This window comes from Homo sapiens, chromosome 9 (genome assembly GCF_000001405.40).
Source record: "Homo sapiens chromosome 9, GRCh38.p14 Primary Assembly".
Taxonomy (NCBI): Eukaryota; Metazoa; Chordata; class Mammalia; order Primates; family Hominidae; genus Homo; species Homo sapiens.
The window spans coordinates 117,103,630-117,126,322 of NC_000009.12; the positions used below are offsets into that span (position 1 = coordinate 117,103,630).

The window sequence follows — 22,693 nt, forward strand, 5'->3', positions numbered from 1 at the left end:
CTCCTGCTCTTGCTATCATGATGGATGGTGGTGACATGTTAAATTATTCAGGCTCCGTGTCTTCCTCAAGCTGGTGACAGTGATATTGCATTTTTAGATTACCCAGAACTGTGCCAGATAAAGAAATATGTGGTTCAGGAATGGAAAAACCCATCTGACCCCCAACCATCTAGGGAATACAAATGGTCCCAGTCATAGAAAAAGGACAGAAGTGGGTAAACTTCCCACACCCCCTATACCACACAACTCACAATTGCTCTGAGCTCTAGAGCTAAACCACAAATGTTCATACACATTCACTTCTCGGAGATGTTTTGACCACAACTGCTACCTGCCATCAGGCACCTGCTATAGGCCAGGCACTTTACACAGAGGTTACTATGCTATTCCTCCAAATGTGGCCAGGAGAGGTGGAGCTCCTTACTTGTGGTCACCCATCCAGCTAAGTGGAAGGATATGGATTCAAACCCTGGTTTGTCTGATCCCCCAGGGAAGAAATTTCTGCGGCATTCTTGGGATTCATGCTGAATTTTTAAAATGGATTTTTATGGTGAAAACCTATATATGATAAAATATAGCTAAACCTGATTGTTTATAATTTCAGGGAAAGAATAAGAAATAACTGAGAGGTCCATTTACAGAAGACTGATGAAAAAATCATAGCATATAGTCTTTCATAAGACCATTGAAAACAGTGACATAGATCTAAATTATAGACATACAAACCTCTCCATGACATACTTTTGGGTAAAAAAATATGCAGAGAAGAATACAAAGAGGGACTCCACTTGTGTAAATTTATATATGCTTGCTCATATTTGGTATGAATGCCATTCTGTGTATGTAATAAAAATAAAGAAGAAAAAAGTAAAAAGTCATTCTGAGATGGCATGATCTACGGTTATGAACAAAGTTTTAAGAAGCATATAATAAAACATATTTTAAAAACAACAGTATTCTGTTTTTAAAGTGCACACATAAAATATATGTAAATACACACATGCAAAAACATATTGAAGGAAACATATTAAGGTGTTACGGTGGTTTTTCTCTGGATGATAAGATTTAGGTGTGCTTTAAAACATTTCTTATTGTTGCTCCTACGCATTTAAAAATTCTCCTCCAATGAACTTCTAATGCTTGCTAATAAACAAAGATACCTAATAAAAGCTTTGCTTATTTTTTTAATAAGTACTCTTTATTGCTGCAGTTTAAACCCATTACTCACTTGACCTTTAACGTAATATGGCCATCTCAGAGGGGGATCATTCCATCACCCAAGAAAGGAAATGACCCAATTTATCCCTGAATTTTGGCTTAAATAACTACTTACGAGGGAGAAGCTCACCAATCTAGCTTAACTCACTCTTCCAGGGAAGTAACGCTTTGTCTTCTTGAACATCCCACTCCTCCCTGTGGGATGGTATATTTTCCAAATGGGGCCATAACAAAATCTCCCATCCTGCCTTATCTTTTGCAATGAGACCTTCGCCACACCCCCATCAAAGGCAGAGTCTCATTTCCCTGCCCCCAAATCTAGGCTGGCCTTAGGAACGTAACTCTAATCTACAGAATGCAGAGGAAGTGACTCTGCAGGATTTCTAGAGATAGAACCTGAAAAGCAATAAAGCTTTTGTCTGGCTTTCTAAAAACACTGGTTCTCTAGATGTTTCCTCTTAGGAAAACTGCCACGGTGCTGTGAGATTCTTAGCCACATAGAAAGGCTATGTGTAAGTGGTTGAGTCAAGAGTCTCAGCTAAGCCCAGCATTTAAGACATCCCACCCCATCCCAGGTGGCAAAAACATGAGAGAACCTTCTAGTTGATTCTACCCTCTGCCATCTGTTACCCGTGGATGTTTTGAGTTTTCCAAGCTGAAGTCCAGTCCTTGTGGAACTGAGATAATTCACCTTTCCTTTATCATTATGACTCCCTGACTCCTGGAATCCGTGAGTATAAGATTGTTGGTTTAATGCACTAGCTTTGGGATGTTATATCATGCAACCATAGGTAAACAGAACACTCCCCTTTTCCAGTCCTACAAAAATCTCCACACTCTTTCCAAGTTATCACCATATGGCAGCCTGGGCAATGGGAAGATGAGCTGGTGTGGTGTCCAGAGACCCTGGTCCTAGGTCTGTCCTGTTCCTGACATACGGTGTGACTGAAAAATATATTATCATCTCACAGATATTGCATAACAGATAATACTTTTACTCTCTTCCCAAACACAGCAGCTCATTTGACATTCACAATAACTGGATGATGGGCATTGCTATTCCCACTTGAAAGATGAGGACACAGAGGGTCAGAGACACTACAGATGCCTTGGTCAAGGTCCCATAGCTCATAAATGGCAGAGCAGAGAGGAGAATATAGAACCAATTCTGGAAGCTACAGTAGAGTAAGGGGGCAGATTTGAGTATCTGAGGTTGGTCAGGTATTAAGTTCCGTGAAATTTCCACTTTCTAGATTCCGTCCAGACTTTTGAAATGGTAGAGTCAGACTGTTAGCTTCCCTTTATGATGGTCCTCAGTCATCTGAGGTTGCTTATGTGCCCACTCACAATCTTTTCATCCAAGCTACATATTTCTTTTCTTCTTTTTTTTTTCTTTTGAGACAGAATCTCATTCTGTAACCCAGGCTGGAGTGCAGTAGCGCAATCTCGGCTCACTGCAACCTCCGCCTCCCATTTTCAAGCTATTCTTGTGCGTCAGCCCCTTGAGTAGCTGTGATTTTTGTATTTTTAATAGAGACGGGATTTTGCCGTGTTGGCCAGGGTAGTCTCAAACTCCTGGCCTCAAGTGATATCCACCCCCCTCAGCCTCCCAAAGTGCTGGGATTATAAACGTGAGCCACTGCACCCAGCCCAAGCTACATATTTTTATTAATTCCTTCAGCCATTCCTTATATGTTTAAAAATTATAATTTTTGAATTATAAAGTCAGTACATATTTATTGTAGAAATGTTTTCAAAAATAAGAAAGGCACAAAGAAGAAAATAATAATCAAGTCAAATTTTATTACTCCCAACTGACTTCTCTTACTTTGAGATTTTAACAGTGCATTTATATGCATACGTTTTTACAACTAGGTTTCATTGTCTTGTTACTTGAGCATATCCTGTGAATTTTGTAAAAAATATCTATCTATCTATCTATCTGTCTATCTATCTATCTATCTATATACCGATACATTTATTTATGCTAGGAATACATATTGGGGTTAAATTATATACCTGACAGCTTTTTCTATTATGTAATTTACATATGTCATATGTGTGTCTGTGCATGTGCACACATCTAGATTTATATGTACAAAATATTCATCTATACATGTATCTATACCTACATATACCCAAATGATACTGGTGATTTTCTCTGAATATTGAGATATTCTTCTTATCTTTTTTCCTTTTTGTGAGAAAATAAATATAGATTGCTTATGGAATTAAAGCTAATTAAAATGTCATAAATATTATCATTCCATTAAGTATTCATCTTCAATATCACCTAATGCCTGAAAAGTTCTACTATTGACATAGTAGAATTACTATGTCAATGTACTGCTTATTTAACCAATTTCTTATTGTTTAAATTTTACATTGTTTCCAGTTTTTCACTATTTTATCACACATTCTTACAGGTAAATATTTCTACACATCCCTATGCATCCCCATGTAGAAATTTCTTGAGTGTTGAAAGAGAAATTGATGGGTCAAAGGGTTTCGACATAGTTAAGGTTTTTTGATCTATATTGTCAAGACACCCTCCCGAAAGGATATACCAATTTTATCCCAATCAGCTGTATATGAGTGACTATTTCACTGTATCTTCTGTAACACTGGGTATTACATCATTGTTTTCAAATCTTAGTAATTTTGATATGCATCCCATATTTCAAATTCATTCTGCCGTATCCTTTTTAAAATAGTTCAATTTTCTCACATTCTTTTTGCGTTTTGATGTCCAGAATTGGGCATGCTAATTCAGGTGTGATCTGACCCGCATAGAGCAATAATGGACTACACCTCCCTCTCTCTGAACACAAGACTTATAATAATGCAGCCCAAGCCTGCTTCAGCTTTATTGGCAGCTGACTTACACTCAACATGCCCTCAGTTCCTTGTTGACATGCACTGCAAATAAATCTGGTCTTTCCTATCATGTATTTGTAGAATTGATGCTTCTAAACCAAAGTAAAGAACGTTTTGTACTACCAAATTGTATCTGTATATTTCAACCCTTTCTTCTAGTCTCTCAAGATGTACTTTTTTGGTCCTAATCTTCTGATCTCATAGTTGCAGTATTCCCTGACTACAGGCCCTTTATGAGTTGAATAAACCTGAAAAGGAGCAGGAGGTAAGAAAGGGAACAATAGTGACTGACTGCCTGCTACATGTCAAGCAACAGGACTAAACATTTATGTATGGTACAATCATTGAGTACATGTAAGACTGCAATTAAGTTGATGCTGATATCCATGTGTTAAATATCAATAAATTGATATCTTCAGGGATTGTCTTGAGAAAGATTGCACAGCCAGTACAGAGACGGGGTTGGTTGGGAAGTTTAACTGTGGCCCTTGTTATTCCCAGTATTCCATGCTAGGTATTCCCTTCTTTAAGACACTGACATTCATGTTGGAATAAAACTTGACAGCTAATGGGCAGAGAACCCTCTTCAGGGTGACATCAGACTGTGAATGAAAACTCTTTGAGAACATGTAATTGAATAAAAGTAAACCATCTTGACTATACTATCAAGCAGCCTACAATTGTGCCCTTTGGAAAAAAACAAAACAAAACAAAACACACACACACACACACACACACACACACACATTTTGTTCATTCAATCTGTTGGGAGCCCATAATGTGCCTAGAAGTGGACATGCACTGGGAAGTGAAACAGAAATAGTTTCTGCCATCAGAGAGCTTACATTTAATTGGGAAGATTGAATATTCAAATAAACACATGCAGAAATTAATATACTTGTGAGAACCAGAGAGTTCTCACTAGGGAAAACCTAGCATGGAATCCTGGGAATAGAAAGACACTTAACTTCCCAGCAAACTCCATCTCCAAACTGGCTGTGTGACCTTGCTTTGTCAAATATCTTGGGTGCATTCAGATATCTGGTATCTGTGGTATATCCCTGATCTTCCCATGCAACAAACCAACCCAAATAGAAATGCAATACATCTGGCATAATTTTTCTTCATGAACCCATGATGGCTTCTGGTGCTCCCAACTTCCCTTCACATATTGACCATGTAAATTTGACAAACCCACCTCATTGTACTTGAGAATCATAATCAAGATTCAATAGTGCTTCACCATTTATTAGTAAGCTGGATAAAATCTGTCCTTCCGGCTGGGCATGGTGACTCACGGCTGTAATCCTAGCAGTTTGGGAGGCCGAGGTGGGCGGATCACTTGAGGCCAGGAGTTTGCAGCCTGGCTAACATAGTGAAACCCCCGTCTCTACTAAAAATACAAAAATTAGCTGGGCGTGGAGATACATGCCTGTAATTCCAGCTACTCAAGAGGCTGAGGCAGGAAAATCGCTTGAACCTGGGAGGCAGAGGTTGCAGTGAGCCGAGATCTTGCCACTGCACTCCAGCCTGGGCGACAGAGGGAGACTCTGTCTCAAAAAATTAATTAATAAATAAATAAACAAACACAGAGGGAGACCCTGTCTCAAAAAATAAATAAATAAATAAATAAAAATAAATAAATAAAAATAAATCTGTCCTTCAATAGAATTTTGGAAACTCTTGTTCCTGCCTTGATTTCTCCAAGATTACACCCAACTCTCTGGTTCTGAAAACATCTCAAGATTATTTTAGCCCCTGGAAGTAATTTGATTGGGTCTAGAGATGGAAATCAAGGCAGCCACTTCAAAGTAAATACTTAATACTTCTGTGTTAGAATTCCCCTTCTTATAAAATATCTTTATTCTCCCTTTCTTAGTTTTCAGGTTTTTTTCTTGATGTGTGACAAATCTGACAGAATCAGAATGAACTTAGTTCTTTACTTTCATCTGGTAATAAAGTTTCAGTTGTTTCATCCAATAGGACAACTATTTTCTTATTCTTATTGTTCCAAAAGCAATTTTAAAAGTTTGTTTTACCTTTGCTTATTTTCTTTCAAATTTGTCCACCATGCATTGACAATTTTGAAGCCTCAGCCTTTCCGGGAGTATTCTCATGAGTTTGGGCTAAATTGTTTCACCTTTTTGGCCTTTTCTGTCATCTTTTAGTTTCCTATACAAGTATATCTTCTCCCTCTATGCTTCCCAATTTCCCTGCTCTTTTTAATTGTCTGTGATTATTTGTTCAGAATTTTATTTTTCAGAATCTTCTCTGAAATACGCCTATTTCACGTTGGAATCTGCTGCCATAGAACCAGGAAGATCTATCCTCTGCCATTAAAATGTTATGTATATATATGTTCATAAATTTTTGGTTATAATTTTTCATCTTTTGAAATAAAAAAGTTATTTCTTGCTTTAATAATATCCAGTGCTGTCTGGATATTATTTTATGAAATGATCATTTTCCTAAATTGCTGCAAGCAGTGCAAATTTATACGGTCCTTTTGGGAAGCAATTTGGCAATATAAAAAAGAACCTTAAAAAATGCCCATCCATTTTGACCTGCTTCTGGGAATTCACCATAAGGGACCCATCCTAGACACAGGATGGGCTTTATGCACTGTTATACTCATTGCAACATTATTTATAAATATTGGAAAATGGAAAATCGCCTTAATATCCAACTTGAGGGGAATGGTTAATGATGTTAGAATATTAGGCTTTGATGATGATGATAAAATAATGTAGAAAATACTTACATTTCAATACAAGTTTTAAGAAAGGGGATAAAAACACAAATCCTATGTTAACAAAATGATTAATATCAAATACAGAGGAGGTTCTGCATATGGTACAGAGGAGTACGCTAGTAACAGACCTATCCTTGTGCAGATAATAATGATACATTCTGGACAAAATGCCAAAAATACTACCTGAGGGCTCCTGGAAGTAAATAAAAGCAGACATATTTTGGAAAGAAGTTGAAAAGTAGAGGAAGTAGCCAGCACAGGATGAATTTCTCATCTTCAAGGTTCTTCCTTTGAGGGTAGTCTACACTTACAGCATAGCTCAGGGAACCTGAAGCAGCAGGAGTAAGTTTGCCATTGTCTGGACTGAGGACCCAGTGGATGGATCCCAGATCAAGTAAAGCCAGCAGAGAGTGAGGGAAGAATCAAGAAAAGGAGAGACTCAGAGAAGGGGAGCCCACAATCTGTGTATAATCTCTGCCCATATCTCCGGCTGACCTCTGGACTACACATGTGAAAGGCAGGCCCTGACAGGCTCAGCTGAAGATAATAAAACACGGAGATTTGAGCTGCTGCTCACCAAAGGCAGGACAGCTGAAGTCCAACCAAATTAACTGCCTTCAAAAACAAAACATGAGCATTAAAGAAAAATAACAAAACCCAAGAGTCTTCATAAAATAAATTCACAATTCCCAAAGTTAAATCCAAAATTACTCAACATATGGTAAACCAGGCAAGTTTCATTCATTCCCAAGGGAAAAGACAACCAGCAAAGGCCAACTCTAAGATGACCCAGATGTTGAAATTAGCAGACAAGAACTTTAACAGCAATAGCTGTGATCAGTTGGGTAAAGGAAATGGTGATTTTAATGACTAAAAATGTGAGGACTATTGGCAGGAAAAAAACTATATCTACAAATATATGCACCAAATAGATATTTTAGAACTGAATATGTATAAAATAAAAAAAAAAACACTGGATGGGCTTAATTAAATGAAGAAAATAATCAATGGCTTTGATTAACAGAACTTTTCCAACTCCCCAATCTGAGAAACGAAGTAAGAAAAATTAAACCATGTCTAAAGGACCCATGGGACAATATCAAACAGTCTAAATACAGATAACTGGAGTCTCAGAGAGATATAGAATAATAAAAATAAAGAAATAAAGGCTAGAATTTACCAAATTTGATGTAAGATATAAATTATCAAATTCGCAAAGCTCATGGAAAATCAAACATGATTTAAACATGGGAAAAAGAAAGAGTTGCACATCATAGTCAAACTGCTGAAAATGAAATATATATAGACACCCTTGCTTTAGCCATTTCAATAAAGCAAGAAAAAGAAAAAGCTTAAAGTTTGAAAGGAAGGAATGAAACTGTATTTTTTAAAGATGACATAATTATTTATAAAAGTAAGCACAAAGAATATACAAAACAACTATTAGAATAAATTACTTTAGCATGATTGAAATATAAATGGTAAATATACAAAAGTTAATTGTATTTCTACATACTGGCAGCAAAAGCTAAAAAAAAAATTCAAAAATAATTCTATTTACAATAGTGTAGAAAAAACTCTCAAATACTTAGTAATATGTTTAAGAAAAGGTATGCAATATATCTTCAATGAAAACAATGTAACACTGTCAAGATAAAGAAAATCTAAATAAACAAATATACCATGTTTGCAGATTGTAATACTCAATATTGTTAAGATGCTTTCTCCCCATAAATTTAATATTGAGTAAATGAAATACAAGTTATAATCCCAACAAGGTTTTTTTTTTTGTTTTGGTAGAAATTGACAAGGTAATTCTAAAATTTATATGAAAGTGCAAGTAATCCACAATAGCTAAGTAATTTTATAGAAGAACAAAGTTGGTAGACTTAACACTGCTTGTTTTTAAGATCTATTATAAAGCTGTAGTAAACAAGACAGTGTTGTATTGGCTAAAGGATAGGAATATAAATCAGTGAAACAGAATAGAGTGTTCAGAAGTATATACAATTGATTTTTGATGTAGTTGTCAAAGGAACGTCTTTTCAATAAATGGTGCTGGAACAACTGGAGAGCCATATGCTAAAAGGAATGAACAAAAGCCCATAGTTCATACCATATACACATATTAACTCAAAATGGATTACAGAAGTAAATGTAAAAGATAAATCTATAAGCTTTCTAGGAGAAAACAGGAGAAACATTGTTTTGACCTTGGGGTAGGCAAAGGTCATAGATAGAAAACAAAATGCATAAATCATAAAAGAAAAAAATTGAGAAACTGGAGTTTAGAAAAATGAAAGATCTTCTTCTTCAAAAGACACCACTAAGAAAAGGAAAGACAAGCTACATAATCGGGGAAAATAACTGTAATACATATAATACATATATCTGACAAAGTATGTTTATAAAGACTCTTACAACAATACAAGGAGATAAGCAAATACAAAATGGAAAAGATTTGAAGAAATACCTAAAAATATATGAATGCTGATAAGTACATGAAAAGATCCTCAACCTCTTTAGTCATCAGGGAGACATAAATTATATCACAATGAGATACAACTGCACAACAATTAGAATGGCTAAATTTTAAAAAGATCAGTCTTACCAGTCTTGACAAGGTTTTGAAGCAAGTGAAACTCTCATTTACTGCAGATGAAAACATGCATCATGTATCCACTTTGGAAAAAAACCCTATTTCTCAAAATGTTAATTCTACAACAACCAAATAACCCAGATATCCCATTCCTAGTTACACAAGAGAAACAAAACCATATATGTTCACATAAAGACTTCTGCATGAAAGTTCACAGCAGTTTTATCCACAGTAGCAATAAGCTGCAACCAACCCAAATATCCACCAACTGGTTGGCAGATAAAATACAGCATATTTAGGCCAGGCGTGGTGGCTCACACCTGCAATCCCAGCACATTGGGAGGCCAAGCAGGGTGGATCACCTGAGGTCAGAAGTTCAAGACCAGCCTGGTCAACATGGTTAAACCCCGTCTCCACTAAATATACAAAAATTAGCCAGGCATGGTGGCAGGTGCCTGTAATCCTAGCTACTAGGGAGGCTGATGCAGGAGAATCGCTTGAACACAGGAGGTGGAGGTTGCAGTGAGCCGAGATCGCACCATTGCGCTCCAGCCTGGGCAACAAGAGCAAAACTTCGTCTCAAAAAACAAAACAAAACAAAACAAAAAAAAAAGGATCTACTGACAGGTGTAAATAAAGGAAGAAATTTCAAAGTCTTTATGCTGAATGGAAGATGTCAGACACAAAAACTACATACTGTGTGAGTCCATTTAAATGAAATTCCAGAAAAGACAAATCTAATCTATAGTAACAAAAAGCAGATCTGTGGTTGTCTGATATTGTAGGTAGAAAGAAGGATGTACTGTAAAAGGTCGTCAGGAATCTTTTGGGGGTGAAGGAAATGGTCACTGGTGTATACATCTTTCAAAACTCATTGAATTGCATACTCTAAATGGATGTGATTTCTTGTAAACAAGTTATACTTTAATAAAGATCATTTTTAAGTTGCATGTAGAAAAATATAAGTAAAGCTTGAAAAAAATAGGGCAAAATTTATATGTTAGTAGTTTTTGGAGGATGAGGTACAGAACATTTTCATTTTTGTTTATACTTTGGGGAATTTTAGAAACTCTTTTTAATGAACATTAGTCTTTTTTTTTTTTAAAAAAAAAGTCTATGGGATTTATCAGATTAAGGCCAGCTTTGTGTCCCTAGTCAAATGTGTGACTAAGATGTGTGTTTTAGTCTAATATAACTCATTATCGAATGACACTCTTATTGTTGGTCAGACTTACGGGCAGAGCAGTAATCCCAGAGGGATGAGTATCCTCACTTCTCCTCTGCATTTCAGGCATGAAATTAGAACACAGACAATTCAATAATTTATCAGAAATTGTGTTTTTAGCATAACAATTCTTCCTGCAGCTGTCTGGAGAACTGAGGCCCTCATTGATACACTGCATTAGCTCTGAATTGTTTTGTATATTCAAAATTCATGTTATATATCAATCATGGAATAGCAAAAAATTATTGAATTAGAGTCAGAAAACCTAAGTTTGAGGCTTTTTTGTTGTTTTGTTTTGTTTTTTAATTCTGTGTTACTGTGGTAGCTTTATACATAGCCCTGAAATTCTTGACATACTTCTTACTGAGATACAGGATCTTCAATACTTGAATCTGGGAGGGCTTGTTACTGCTTTGACTAAAAGAAAATGACAGAATTGAGGCTATGTATCTTGCATGGCCAGGTCAGAAAAGGCCATGCAATGTCACTTAGTTCTCCTGGGACAGAAACCAGTCACTATCCAAGAAACCTGACTACTCAGAGATTAGCATTTTGGAGAGCCCACATGTAGGCACACCAGTCAACATCCCCATTGGAGCTCTTAGCCAACAACTGCACCCATTTCCAGCCATGTGAGGGGGCCATTTTTGATGTCCAGCTCAGTTGAGCCTTCAGATGACTACAGCCCCACCTGGTGTTTGGCTACAACTATATGAGACACCCCGAAGCAAGAACTGCCCAGCCAAGCCCTTTACGAATTCCTGACCCACAAAACTGTGGGCCAAAGGAAAAGGTTGTTGCTTTTAACCACAAAGCTTTGGGGTAATTTTGTATACAGCAATCATCACCATTAACAGTGACCTTAAGTGAGTCACTTGAGCTCTCTAAACTCTAAGTCTCACATCTCTAAAATGGGAATATATCTATTCTAGGCCGGGCAATGTGATGGCTCACACCTGTAATCCCAGCACTTTGGGAGGCCGAGGCAGGTGGATCACTTGAAGTCAGGAGTTCAAGACCAGCATGGCCAACATGGTGAAACCCTGTCTCTACTAAAAGTACAAAAGTTAGCCAAGCATGGGGGTGCATGCCTGTAGTCCCAGTTACTAAGGAGGCTGAGGCAGGAGAATCACTTGAACCCAGGATGCAAAGGTTGAGGTTGCAGTAAGCCGAGATCATGCCACTGTACTCCAGCCTGGGCGACAGAGTGAGACTTTGTCTCAGAAAAACAAAACAAAACAAAATATCTATTCTATACTATGGTCACAAGTCTTAAGTGAGATAATACATTTAAAAGGATATTGGAAACCTTGGACAACAAATAGCTGTAGTTTCATTTATTCAAATATTGATTTGTTTACTCAACACGTTGTTTGAATGCCTACTACATATTAAGCCTGTGCAGTAGGCTAGGGGTATAACTGTCAATAAGAGACAATTGCTGGCCGGGCGCGGTGGCTCACACCTGTAATCCCAGCACTTTGGGAGGCCAAGGCAGGAGGATCACGAAGTCAGGAGATCGAAACTATCCTGGCTAACATGGTGAAAACCCGTCTCTACTAAAAATACAAAAAATTAGCTGGGCGTAGTGGTGGGCGCCTGTAGTCCCAGCTACTCGGCAGGCTGAGGCAGGAGAATGGCGTGAACCCAGAAGGCGGAGCTTGCAGTGAGCTGAGATTGTGCCACTGCACTCCAGACTGGGGGACAGAGTGAGACTCCGCCTCAAAAAAAAAATGCATATATATATATATATTGCTCCCATCCAAGAGCTCACATTCAGATGGAGGAAATGGTCAAGAATCCAGAAGGCAGAATGAAGTATAATAAGGCTACAGCATAGGCTAATGCAAGAGCTGTGGAACACATGGCAGGGCCTCACTCCTATCTCCTGGGGGTAGCAGAAAGAATGGTCAGGATGTGAGATTAGGGTTGTGTGTGTAGTGAGGCATGAGAATGGAGGAAAGATGATCACACACAAGTGAAACAGAGATTCTGGCTTGGCTCTAGCTTTCAGTCAGTAAGCTGAAACTAGTAAAAGAATGTGAACTTCTCTACAGAGATAAGGGTTTTCTTGTGAACCTATGTAGATTGGTCAGAACATACTTTTGAAGCATGATGGAGGCACTACAGGGTCTTTATCATGTGCATCTTTCTGGCCACACAAGAATTAAACAAACACACAATCAGGAACAACAGATTCAACTGCTAACTTGAATAATCTTTGCCATTTGCTTGATCAAAGCTATAGACAATGTTAAGGGAAAAGATTTCATCAAAAGTTTTTTTTTTTTTTTTAATTCTGCACAATGCTAGTCTAGGAGAATGGTGATTCTGGAAGGCAACAGTGGAAGCTTTGCTCCAAAGTCCTTGCAAAACTGCTCTTTCCAAGCTAGGCTACATGGGAATGTGCCTGCCTCCATGGCCTAATAGTTGTCCTGTGGCCAGTAGAGTTATTTCCAATTGTTCCTAAAAAGTCTCTCTGTGTGAGTGTGTGTGTGTGTTGATGGGGTTTTGAGGCAGTTCTGGCATGAGCCAAAAAAAAAAAAAAAAAAAAAAAAAAAAAAAGGCCTTTCCCATTCATCGTTTAATTAGGTCTAACAATTACATAATGTAAGCAGAATGTCCTATTACTGATGTATAAAGCTTTATGCTTGGGAGATGACAGTAACAGATTCACAATCAACTCCTGGGTCTCTGGACCCAGTGTTCTTTCTCATACCTCTTGTGGACAATATGGTAATAGGATAATATGGTAATATGAATGCTTAAGCATGGGGACTGGTGGTGATAACAGTGAGGTTTTCACAGCAGTCAAGAAATCAGGCAAGTGAAAAACAGAGAGGGGCTCATCTTTGGGATGGGGTACCTCAGTTTCCCCTTAGCTAGGAAAAATTCATTACTCTCTGTGGAAGACACATGAAAGTTTCTACACAAACACCAAACTTAACTAGCTCAGATCCAAGTGGAAGGGACTAAATGTAAGTTGCTATTTGCACTTTTTCTTTTCTTTCTTGGACAAGTGTAGGGTTTTAAACAGCTCTGGGAGATGGGAAAAAAGCAAAGTGGAGAAAAAAAAAAAGAAAAGAACGAAGAAAGAGAAAAAAAAAAAACGCAACTCCACTAATACCCAAAGTTGTGTCAACAGGCTGTTTTAGGAAAGAATGAGGGACTTTGTTGAGAGTGGGAAGGGCTCCCCTCACCTACTGCCTCAAGATGTGAGCAGAGGCTTTTTCTCTCCCTGAGCTCCTGATATGGTTCCTGGCACATAGTAGGAGCTAACAAGTGTTGGCTAGAAGGAATAAATCAAGAGGAGTTCTCATCAGCACCCCCTACCCCATGGTACTGCAGATGTTTTGATGAGATGTTTTCCAATTTAATCCTGTTTGCTGAGTTATTAGCCTGTTAATCTCAAACATAAATAATCTACCATGTGCTGAGAGTCTGACTTTTTCTTTCCCTGAGCTAACAATCCCCAACAGCTCTTCTACGTTTCTATCCCAGGAGAAACAGTATGCTTTCTAAGCAGCCGTCACACTCCATCTTTCTTCAGACATGGCACTCATTCCCAGGGTGAACTTCGCAGGCTCTGGGGGTAAGAGCCACCCAAAGGCCCCTGCGTCTCATGGCAGCAGGGCAGAATGTAGGGGAAACCCCTTTTGAAAATCACCGTTATATTAAAAAAATAAATAAATAAATCCTGACCTCTTCACAAACCCAACGAGGAAAAAAGTGCCAGGTTGTTCAAAGGGATTCACTGACCAGTTATAAGGAAAGCTCAGTAGCCGAGACCTAGGATTCTTGGGTCTACATCCTGGTTCTATCAGTGTTGTCATGCGGGTTTAAGTAATTTAATTTCCCTGTTTTCTTTTATAAAACAAAAGTAATTCTATATTTCCCATATGGTTTGGAAAGCTACTATTCAGATGAGAGGACATCACATGGTTAAGCCAGAGTTCTTTTTTGCCCTTCCTAAGACAGCTACTGGCCCAGTTGCCCCCATCCTAGATCTCCAGTCATGAACTTACCCAGACCAAAACATGGTAGTCATCACTGATCCCTTTTTTTCCTCTCCTAGAGGACAGCCAATCCAGATCTAAGTCCCATTGTCTCTACCAAAAAATCCTAAGGTTTGATCATTTCTCATCACCTCCACAGCTGCAACATTAGATGAAGCTATCATCGTCTGTCTATTTTACCACAAAATGGGCTTTCTGACACTCTCCAGGCTTCTACATTTATATTCCCAATGCCTATTCCATGCACAAAAGTTAGAGAGGTCAGATTATAAATGTAAATCAAACCAAGTCCTTTCCCTGTTCACTAGTCTCCAATGGATGCTCATCAGCTGTAAAACAATACTCCAAAATCCACAGCTGGATCCTAATTATGTAACCCCAGGCTATTTTTCCATCTTTTTCTCTTCCTGCCCTTCTCACTCACCCTGGTCTTCCTGCAGGCCACTGAATACATTAACCTTGTTCTTGTCTCAGGGTCATAATACTGTTCTTTCTCTTCCTACAATGTTGTTTCTCCACAGGTCTCTGTGCAACTGTCACCTCCTCAAGAAGCCTTCTCTGACCACCCTAAGATACTCCCTTCCTCCACCTCCTCACTCTATCTTTTTACCCTGTTTTATTTTTCTTCATAACATTTATTGCTTTCTGAGATGATGTCATATCTACGTTTATTGCCTCTCTCTTACAGAAGAATAGAACCTGCAGGAGTTCAGGACCTTTGTCTTTTTATCACCATACTCTGCATTCACTTAAGTGCCCAGCATTGGGTAGGCATTCAATAAATACTTGTTGAATGAATGAATAGATAATGCACAGAAAAATTTAAAGCTAAACAGTAGAAAGAAAAATTGTAAATTGCCCACTCTGCCTGCCCTCTCAAAACAGAAAAGGATTTACATGCAGGTTTGAAAACATCTTGCAAACACATATACTTTTGGAAACTCACCTGTTTGTTTAAATGAGGAACTCTCTGGGGAGATGAAAGAAATGAATTTTATTTGATTAGGCATGGTGTGCTATTTCCCAATTGCTTCTGAGTTTGCAGAAACTGGCTTCAGGTTCAAGGAGTGGGAATGCCCAAGCTTCCTGTAGCCAGGACAAGGAGGCCCCTATCATGTGTGTTGAGGAGAAGGTAAACTAGGGTGTGGCCTCCTGATGTCCTGACCCTCTCCAGCACCTCCTTCTCCTTACTCTCTCCTGCATCTCACAGCTTTCACTCCACAGCTTGCAATCAAGCCTACCCTTACAAGTGCTAGAAAGAACACATGCAATGATTGGGAGCTAGATTTGAGTCCAACTTCTTCCTTCATGTCTGATTTTCAACAAATTATTAAACCTCTCTGAATCTTTTTAAATATAATTTTTACATTATTTGAAATATGAGAAAGAGACACTAATCCTCACCTCACCAGCCTTCCTCTGATAGATGGGATTTGCCAGAGACTGACAAAAATGAGGGCATCCCAATGTGACACAATGTGACACGCATGTTATCCTGAATTTCATAGGAAGATGGGGTTTGACTTTAGAAGCTTTCCTATGGGTAGATTTTGCAAGATGGAGGTGAATAAACAAAATAGCACTATAGCACTAGAATGTGAAAAGGTAATTCCCTCACACAGCTATTATTTCATATGAAAGGAAATCATATATAGATATCTCTATATATTTGTATGTGTGTGTGTGTGTGTGTGTGTGTGTGTATATATATATATATATATATATATATATATACCCTGAGTATATATACTCAGAGATTATGTAATTGTGAAATGCTGAAAAATTACAAAATATTTTGGCTCCTATTGGGTGTGGGGGTGGGAATAAAACACTGGACTGGAAGAAGGTGGTGGCTCATTGGAAAACTTTGTCATATCTCTTAGTGAATGACTGGAAACTCACCTTCCCACACGTGTTCTGAGAACTTCCTGCACAATGAGTCATCACGTTATGATGGCAAGTACTTGCTCACACCTACAACATGCCCACTTTCTGGACCTGAACCAGTTTTCAGACTTGTATTCACCAACCAAAGGAGAGCCTGGGTGCCCATGAGGAAGGCCACCATGCCACAGTGAGTGTATACAGTAATGTCTCCTCTAGGCCTTCCTCAGAGGGACTTATGGACTTTTATTTGGACAATCATACACCAGAGGAAGAGGAACATCCAGACATTTCAAAGACCATTGAGTACAAGTTGACAGTGATAGCAGAGACCCCAGGCATACTTAGAGTCGGGGACCAAGGGGTTCCAGGTAACAGAATGGAGTCACAACCTAGGTGTAGCTCACAGTGGGAGGATCCTCTCCCTAGCCCCCAAATGTAGAATTGACACAGCCATACTTGGTGGCTGGAAGAATCCTCCTCTCATTGTTTCTTTGGACTCTGTGTTAAAACTATCATAATGGGGAAGGCAAGTGGAGACATTTCCATTGCCACCCAAGAGAGGAAACTAAAACTAAAGTCTCATCCTGTAGGTAATGGAAGCAATCAGTGCTATACTTACAGACTTTAAGGATGCATGAGTGATGGTCTGTATCATATTCACATTTAATTCACCAGTCTTGTCCCTTCAAAATTCAGATGGATTCAGGAGGGTAACAGTGAGCTAATACAAACTCAAACAAATTGTAGGCCCAAGTTTTGCAGTTGTCAGATGTAGTGTCTATGCTACAGGTAATTAATACAGCCTGGGGTACACAGTATGTGTCCATTAATATGGAAAATAAGTTTTTTCTTTTCCATCTCTATCTGGTAAAATTATTAGAAGAAGTTCACATCCACATGGGGTAGGCATCACTACACATTTGTGGTCTTGCCCCAGGGCTTTATTAACTGTTCTACCCTCTGTCGTTACATAATCTGAAGAACATGGACCATCTAGATATTTCACAGAGTATCACATTGGTCTATTATGTTGGTGCATCACTGGGCTAGAGGAACAAGAAAGGAAAAATATGTTCAAGATTTTGGTAAGATATGTGCTTTAGAAGGTGTGAGATAAATCTTATGAAGAATCGGGGGTTCACTACATCAGTGAAAATTTTAGAGTTCAGCAGTCTGTGGCATGCCATAACATCCCTTGCAAAATAAAGAATAAATTACTGCATCTCACAGCTCACACCTCCAGGAAGGAAGCAGAATGCTTGGTAGGCCTCTTTTGATTCTGGAGACAGCAAATTACACACTTGGGAATATTTCCCTGACCCATTTTCCAAGTAGCATGGAAGGCTGCCAACTCTGAGTTGGATCACAGAACAGGAAAAGGTGCTGCAGCAGTTAGGCTGTGATGCAAACAACCCTGCCATTTGTTACCATATGACCCAGTGGACCTTGTATTAGTCCATTCTCACTCTGCTATAAAGAAATATCTGAGACGGACTAATTCATAAAGAAAAGAGGTTAAATCATCTCATTGTTCTGCTGGCTATACAGGTTTCTGCATCTGGGGAAGCCACAGGAAACTTACAATCATGGCAGAAGCCGATGGGGAAGCCAGTTCATCTTCACATGGCCAGCAGGAGAGAGACAGGGAGTGAGGGTAGACGTGCTACACACTTTCAAACAACCAGAACTCCTGATAACTCACTCACCATCTTGAGAACAGCAAGGGGGAAATCCGCCCCCAAGATCCAATACCATCCCATCAGGCCCCTCCTCCAAAACTGGTCATATAATTTGACATGGGATTTGGGTGGGAATATAGAGTCAAACCATATCACCTGTAGGATAAGAGTTCCTGGTGATAATAAATACTGTGTGGATTGCAAGTTCCAATCAGGAGACACACAATGTAGATCTCCTGCTCTCAGAGTAAGGTCATGCCTTCTGCAGCAGAAAGAATGCATTTGAAAGAAGGAACTTTCCCGTGAAAGTTTCAGGTATGCTATTGGATGCTATCAAGAAAACATGCAGCCATAATCTAGCAGAAGTCATGAGCTGGTTCTGTCAGACCCTCTGAGTCATGTGGTAGAGTATGACTCTCACATAAGATGAGAGTGGCAAATCACAATTAGGTCCAAGCAAGCTCAAGGGATACAAATAAACTGCAGTAGCAGATGGCCCAGGTCCCATAGCATCCACCACAATTGCACTAGTGCCTCTCACTCAGGTTGCATTTAGGGACACCTGGGAGTGGGGAGGGAAAAGGATAAGCTTATTTTGAGGAGAGGTATTGGCTCTGTATATGGATACAAGGATACAAGCTAAAAATAGGACCACTGCTAAGCAATGGGCAGCAGTCTGAAGTGTCCACATGGTCATTGACTTTGTGGGGAAAGAGAAGAGATTTAAGGTGTGGATGCATGATTCGATTTACTGGCTAGGGGCTTGACAGAGAAAGACAGGACAATCCTCCCTTTTGCTTGTTCAACACCAACTTAAAAGACTTTATGAAGTCAACAGGGTGGCTACGGCTGTGTTCATTGCTGGTGGTGGGTTTATGGAGGAGGAGGCAAACAGAGACACTGTGGAACTTCCTCCTTCACTTTTAGCAGTTCAGACACATGCCACAACTCAGTGCTCCATGCGAAACATGTCCCAATTCCCCGGAGCCTGCTTACAAAGCTTTTAACCCTCAATGTCTTTCAAACTGACTTTGATCATCCATATAAAACAGAATAGCACCAACACACACAGACCAGATGAGGAGCAGAAAGCTCCAAAAGGGGCTGGAATCAGTGACCTCCAGGATACCCCTGGCCCTGAGATTACTGAAGAGGAAGCCAAGGATGGGAATATCTTCCTAGTGCAGTGGCTCTCTCACTTAATCATGTATCAGGATCACCTGTAAGGCCGTTAAAACACAGATCATCAGGCTCCACCCTACAGTGGCAGGGGCTGAGAATTTACAGTTCTGTCAAGTTCCCACGGGATGCTGATGCTGCGTGTTCAGGAGCTACCCTCTGAGAATCACTGTCCCAGAGCAATGAGGATGCAAAAACAGACCTGTGGGCACCACTCCAAGCTTTAGCACCCTGTGCTCAAGCAGAAGGCTTCCATGAGAGAGGCCATATGTGTCACAGTTAAGAGACTGGACTTTGGGGTTCAATTAATCTGGTTCAAATCCAGGTTTTGCCACTGACCATCTATTTGACATTAGACAAGTGGGTCTTGCCTCGTGAGCCAAAATTTTCTCACCTGTAAAATATGGATAATAATAATATATACACTATGAAAATATTGTGAAGTACAGTTAGATAACATATGCAAAATCAAAAGATGCATGGTAAGCTCTTGATAAATAAGAATACAATGACAACACACGATGCTAGTGTTACTACCCTGTAGAGTACTGGCTGAATGTAAGAGGCTGTATTTCTACTGGCTCTAGCCCTTATTCTTTAATTTAAATATTCATCTTTGGAGACTCAGAGAGGTAATTACATTAAGAGGCAAGCAAAGCAAAGAGACTGTAATTGGGACTGTAACTCCACCCTTCTCCATTCCTCCCTACCCACCTCTCCTCAGCCCTCTTCTCCAAGGTCAGTTTGTTTAAATTCGGACTTGGACTTCACCAGGAATTGGTTTCACATTCTTCTTACTCACTGTATCAAATGAGTATGAGCAGCCATATTCTTTCCTCTCATCTCTGCGACATGCCTGTCTGTGCTTTTGGAGGCTGATGTCACCACAGCAGTTAACTCACATGCCTGGCACGTAGCGTACACCCGAACAATATTTGTTGAATTGCATCGAATTTATAGGAATTAAGGAGACAGGATTTTGGATACATTTTCATCTCTGTGGTGCATGACCTTGGATTAGCCACGCCCCCTTCTCCAGGTCTCAGTTTCTCACTTGTGAAAACAGGGATTTCTCAGGCTTCTTCCAGCTTAGCTATAGCATAGTGGGCAGAGATCTGAACTGGGAGTCAGTAAACCAGGGTTGGGGGCCCAGATATGCCACTAACTCATGGTAAAAAAGTTGCTTTCCCTCTCTGTGCCTCAGTTTTCTCATTTGTGTTATGGGACGATTTCTACATACCCACCTCCCACTCCACATTCCTGAATTTCATTTAAGGCCTTTTGAGGGTTCAAGGTCACAGCCTTTAAACAGTATTTGCCATAACAGGAAAAAAGATATGATTCCTTCTATCATCTTGATGTGGCCACATTTTACTGGAGGCTTCTGGAATCTTGCTGGATAAAATCTCCCATAACAACTCACAGCAATAATGATCATTAATATTGTATATAATCATTAAAATAAGTAGCATCATATTACTTTCAACTTAAATGGTATCTTTTAGCTGAGAGTCTGCTGATGCTTTAGCATGACAAGTGAAGGAAAGGAGGCACTGCTGTTGGAGTTGCTCACTTAAATCTTCCTTACATGCATTTTAAACCTAAAGGAAGAGATGGGAGAAGTTATTTGATATAGCATTAGATTTTGTTTTAGAAGCTATTGCTTCACAGAGGTTGAGGCTGTAGCGAGCCACCGTTGCACCACTGCATTCCAGCATGGGTGACATAGCGAGACCCTGCCACCATGAAAAAAAAAAAAAAAAAAGCTGCATGTGGCATCTGTGCCAGGTTCTGTTACTTTCCAGCTGTATGATTGTGGTCAAAGTGACACAACCTCTCTGTGTCTCAGTCTACTCACCTGTGAAGGCTTCTCTGCACATTTCACAGGGTTCTTACAAAGATCACCTAAGATAGTAGGTGCAAAAATGTGTTGTCAACTGTTAAGCTCTCTACAAACACAAGACATTGCCATTATGGTAATAAAAATCAAATGGCACATGAATATTTCAGAAGCAAGGACTAGGACAGATGTGTAAAGTATTCCCTTCTAATGGGGTTTTATAAATACATGCTCCCTCTTCTTATTACTAACTTCTTAATAATCTCTTTGCAAAGCTTGTCTTCAAACACCCTTTGTCTCCCCCATCATTTCTTCTTAACATCTCCTCTCTCACACAGCTATTTACTTTTGAACTCTGGGTGGCATTTGGGGAGACAGTTGGTTAGAAAAATATACACATACATATTTTGTACAGAGACATAAACAAAATGTATCCAGGGCACCTCAATTCTGAGCCAAGATATTAAAAAATATATATCTTCTTTGTGATCTGTTGCAGCTGCTCATATTAGCAATACTTAGTCTGAAATTAGGTTTAACAACTCTATCCCTATATGTAGCCACAAATATGTTCACATGTGGCATTAATGTGGAAAGAAAACAAATGAAATATGCTCAGATGCATTTTCATTCTGTTAAATCTTAAAGAAAGAAAGGGTTTTACAAAGCCTTTTGGAGTCTCTCTTGGCTAAAAAGGAAATCCTTTTGCCATTAACTGCTCCTGCAGAGAGAGCCTGCTAGCTGCAAGATCATGATGAGGGTAAGCATTAATTAAATCTAACTGCGAGAGAATAATTATGTACACATATCCGTCAGGGCAGGTTGTCACTATCCAGTAACAAAGTTGGATACAAACTCCATCAGCAGAACTGTCAGGCGGCTGTTAAAAGGATATAAATGTGTCCCAAAAGGATCATTTCATTGCGGCGGGGGGGGGAATTGGATTGCAAAGGATTAATGAGGCGAGGGGTTTGTGTTTTCAATTGGATGTAAAATGCAAACTAAGTTGTGGTATCATCATTTAACCTTAATGTTTAGCTACATTTGGATTTTTACCATGTGATGGGGACAATTAGACCTTGTACATCAAACCAGCATTTTTCCATCATGGAATTACATTAAAGGTTAGTTGTTTTTTTCTTTTAAGTTAAATTGCACAAAAGTTTACAACAAAATCATAAAACCCAGTTTACACAGATGGCATATTCTTAATAATAATTAGGTCAGAAAATGAATATGAATCCCACCAGAGTAATTAGGATATTCAGTAAAGGACCCTTTTTGTTGCTGCCTTATTTCTGTCAAGTTTCAGTCTAAGCTCTGAGGCCTATGTATGTGCAGACATCCCACACAGGTAATGTGAATGCAAGTCTTGGAGGTATGTGCTGCTAACAGACACAGCTACAATGTAGCAGAAGGTA

General features: G+C 39.1%; 1 protein-coding gene across 3 annotated transcripts in view, besides 1 other annotated feature; it reads right to left on the bottom strand.

Annotated features, from left to right (window-relative positions):
* The window catches only part of ASTN2 (astrotactin 2), a 991,946-nt gene that overhangs the window by 680,518 nt on the left and 288,735 nt on the right, over positions 1–22,693 (bottom strand). The gene's annotated exons all lie outside the window — the stretch shown is intronic.
* Positions 9,827–10,003: a silencer, noted in NCBI's record as "fragment chr9:119875735-119875911 (GRCh37/hg19 assembly coordinates)". NCBI's record gives its function as "represses an EF-1alpha promoter that drives an FKBP-Casp9 reporter gene in an ReSE screen in phorbol 12-myristate 13-acetate-treated (for megakaryocytic differentiation) K562 erythroleukemia cells {active_cell/tissue: K562(+PMA)}" and the evidence as "EXISTENCE:reporter gene assay evidence [ECO:0000049][PMID:32094911]".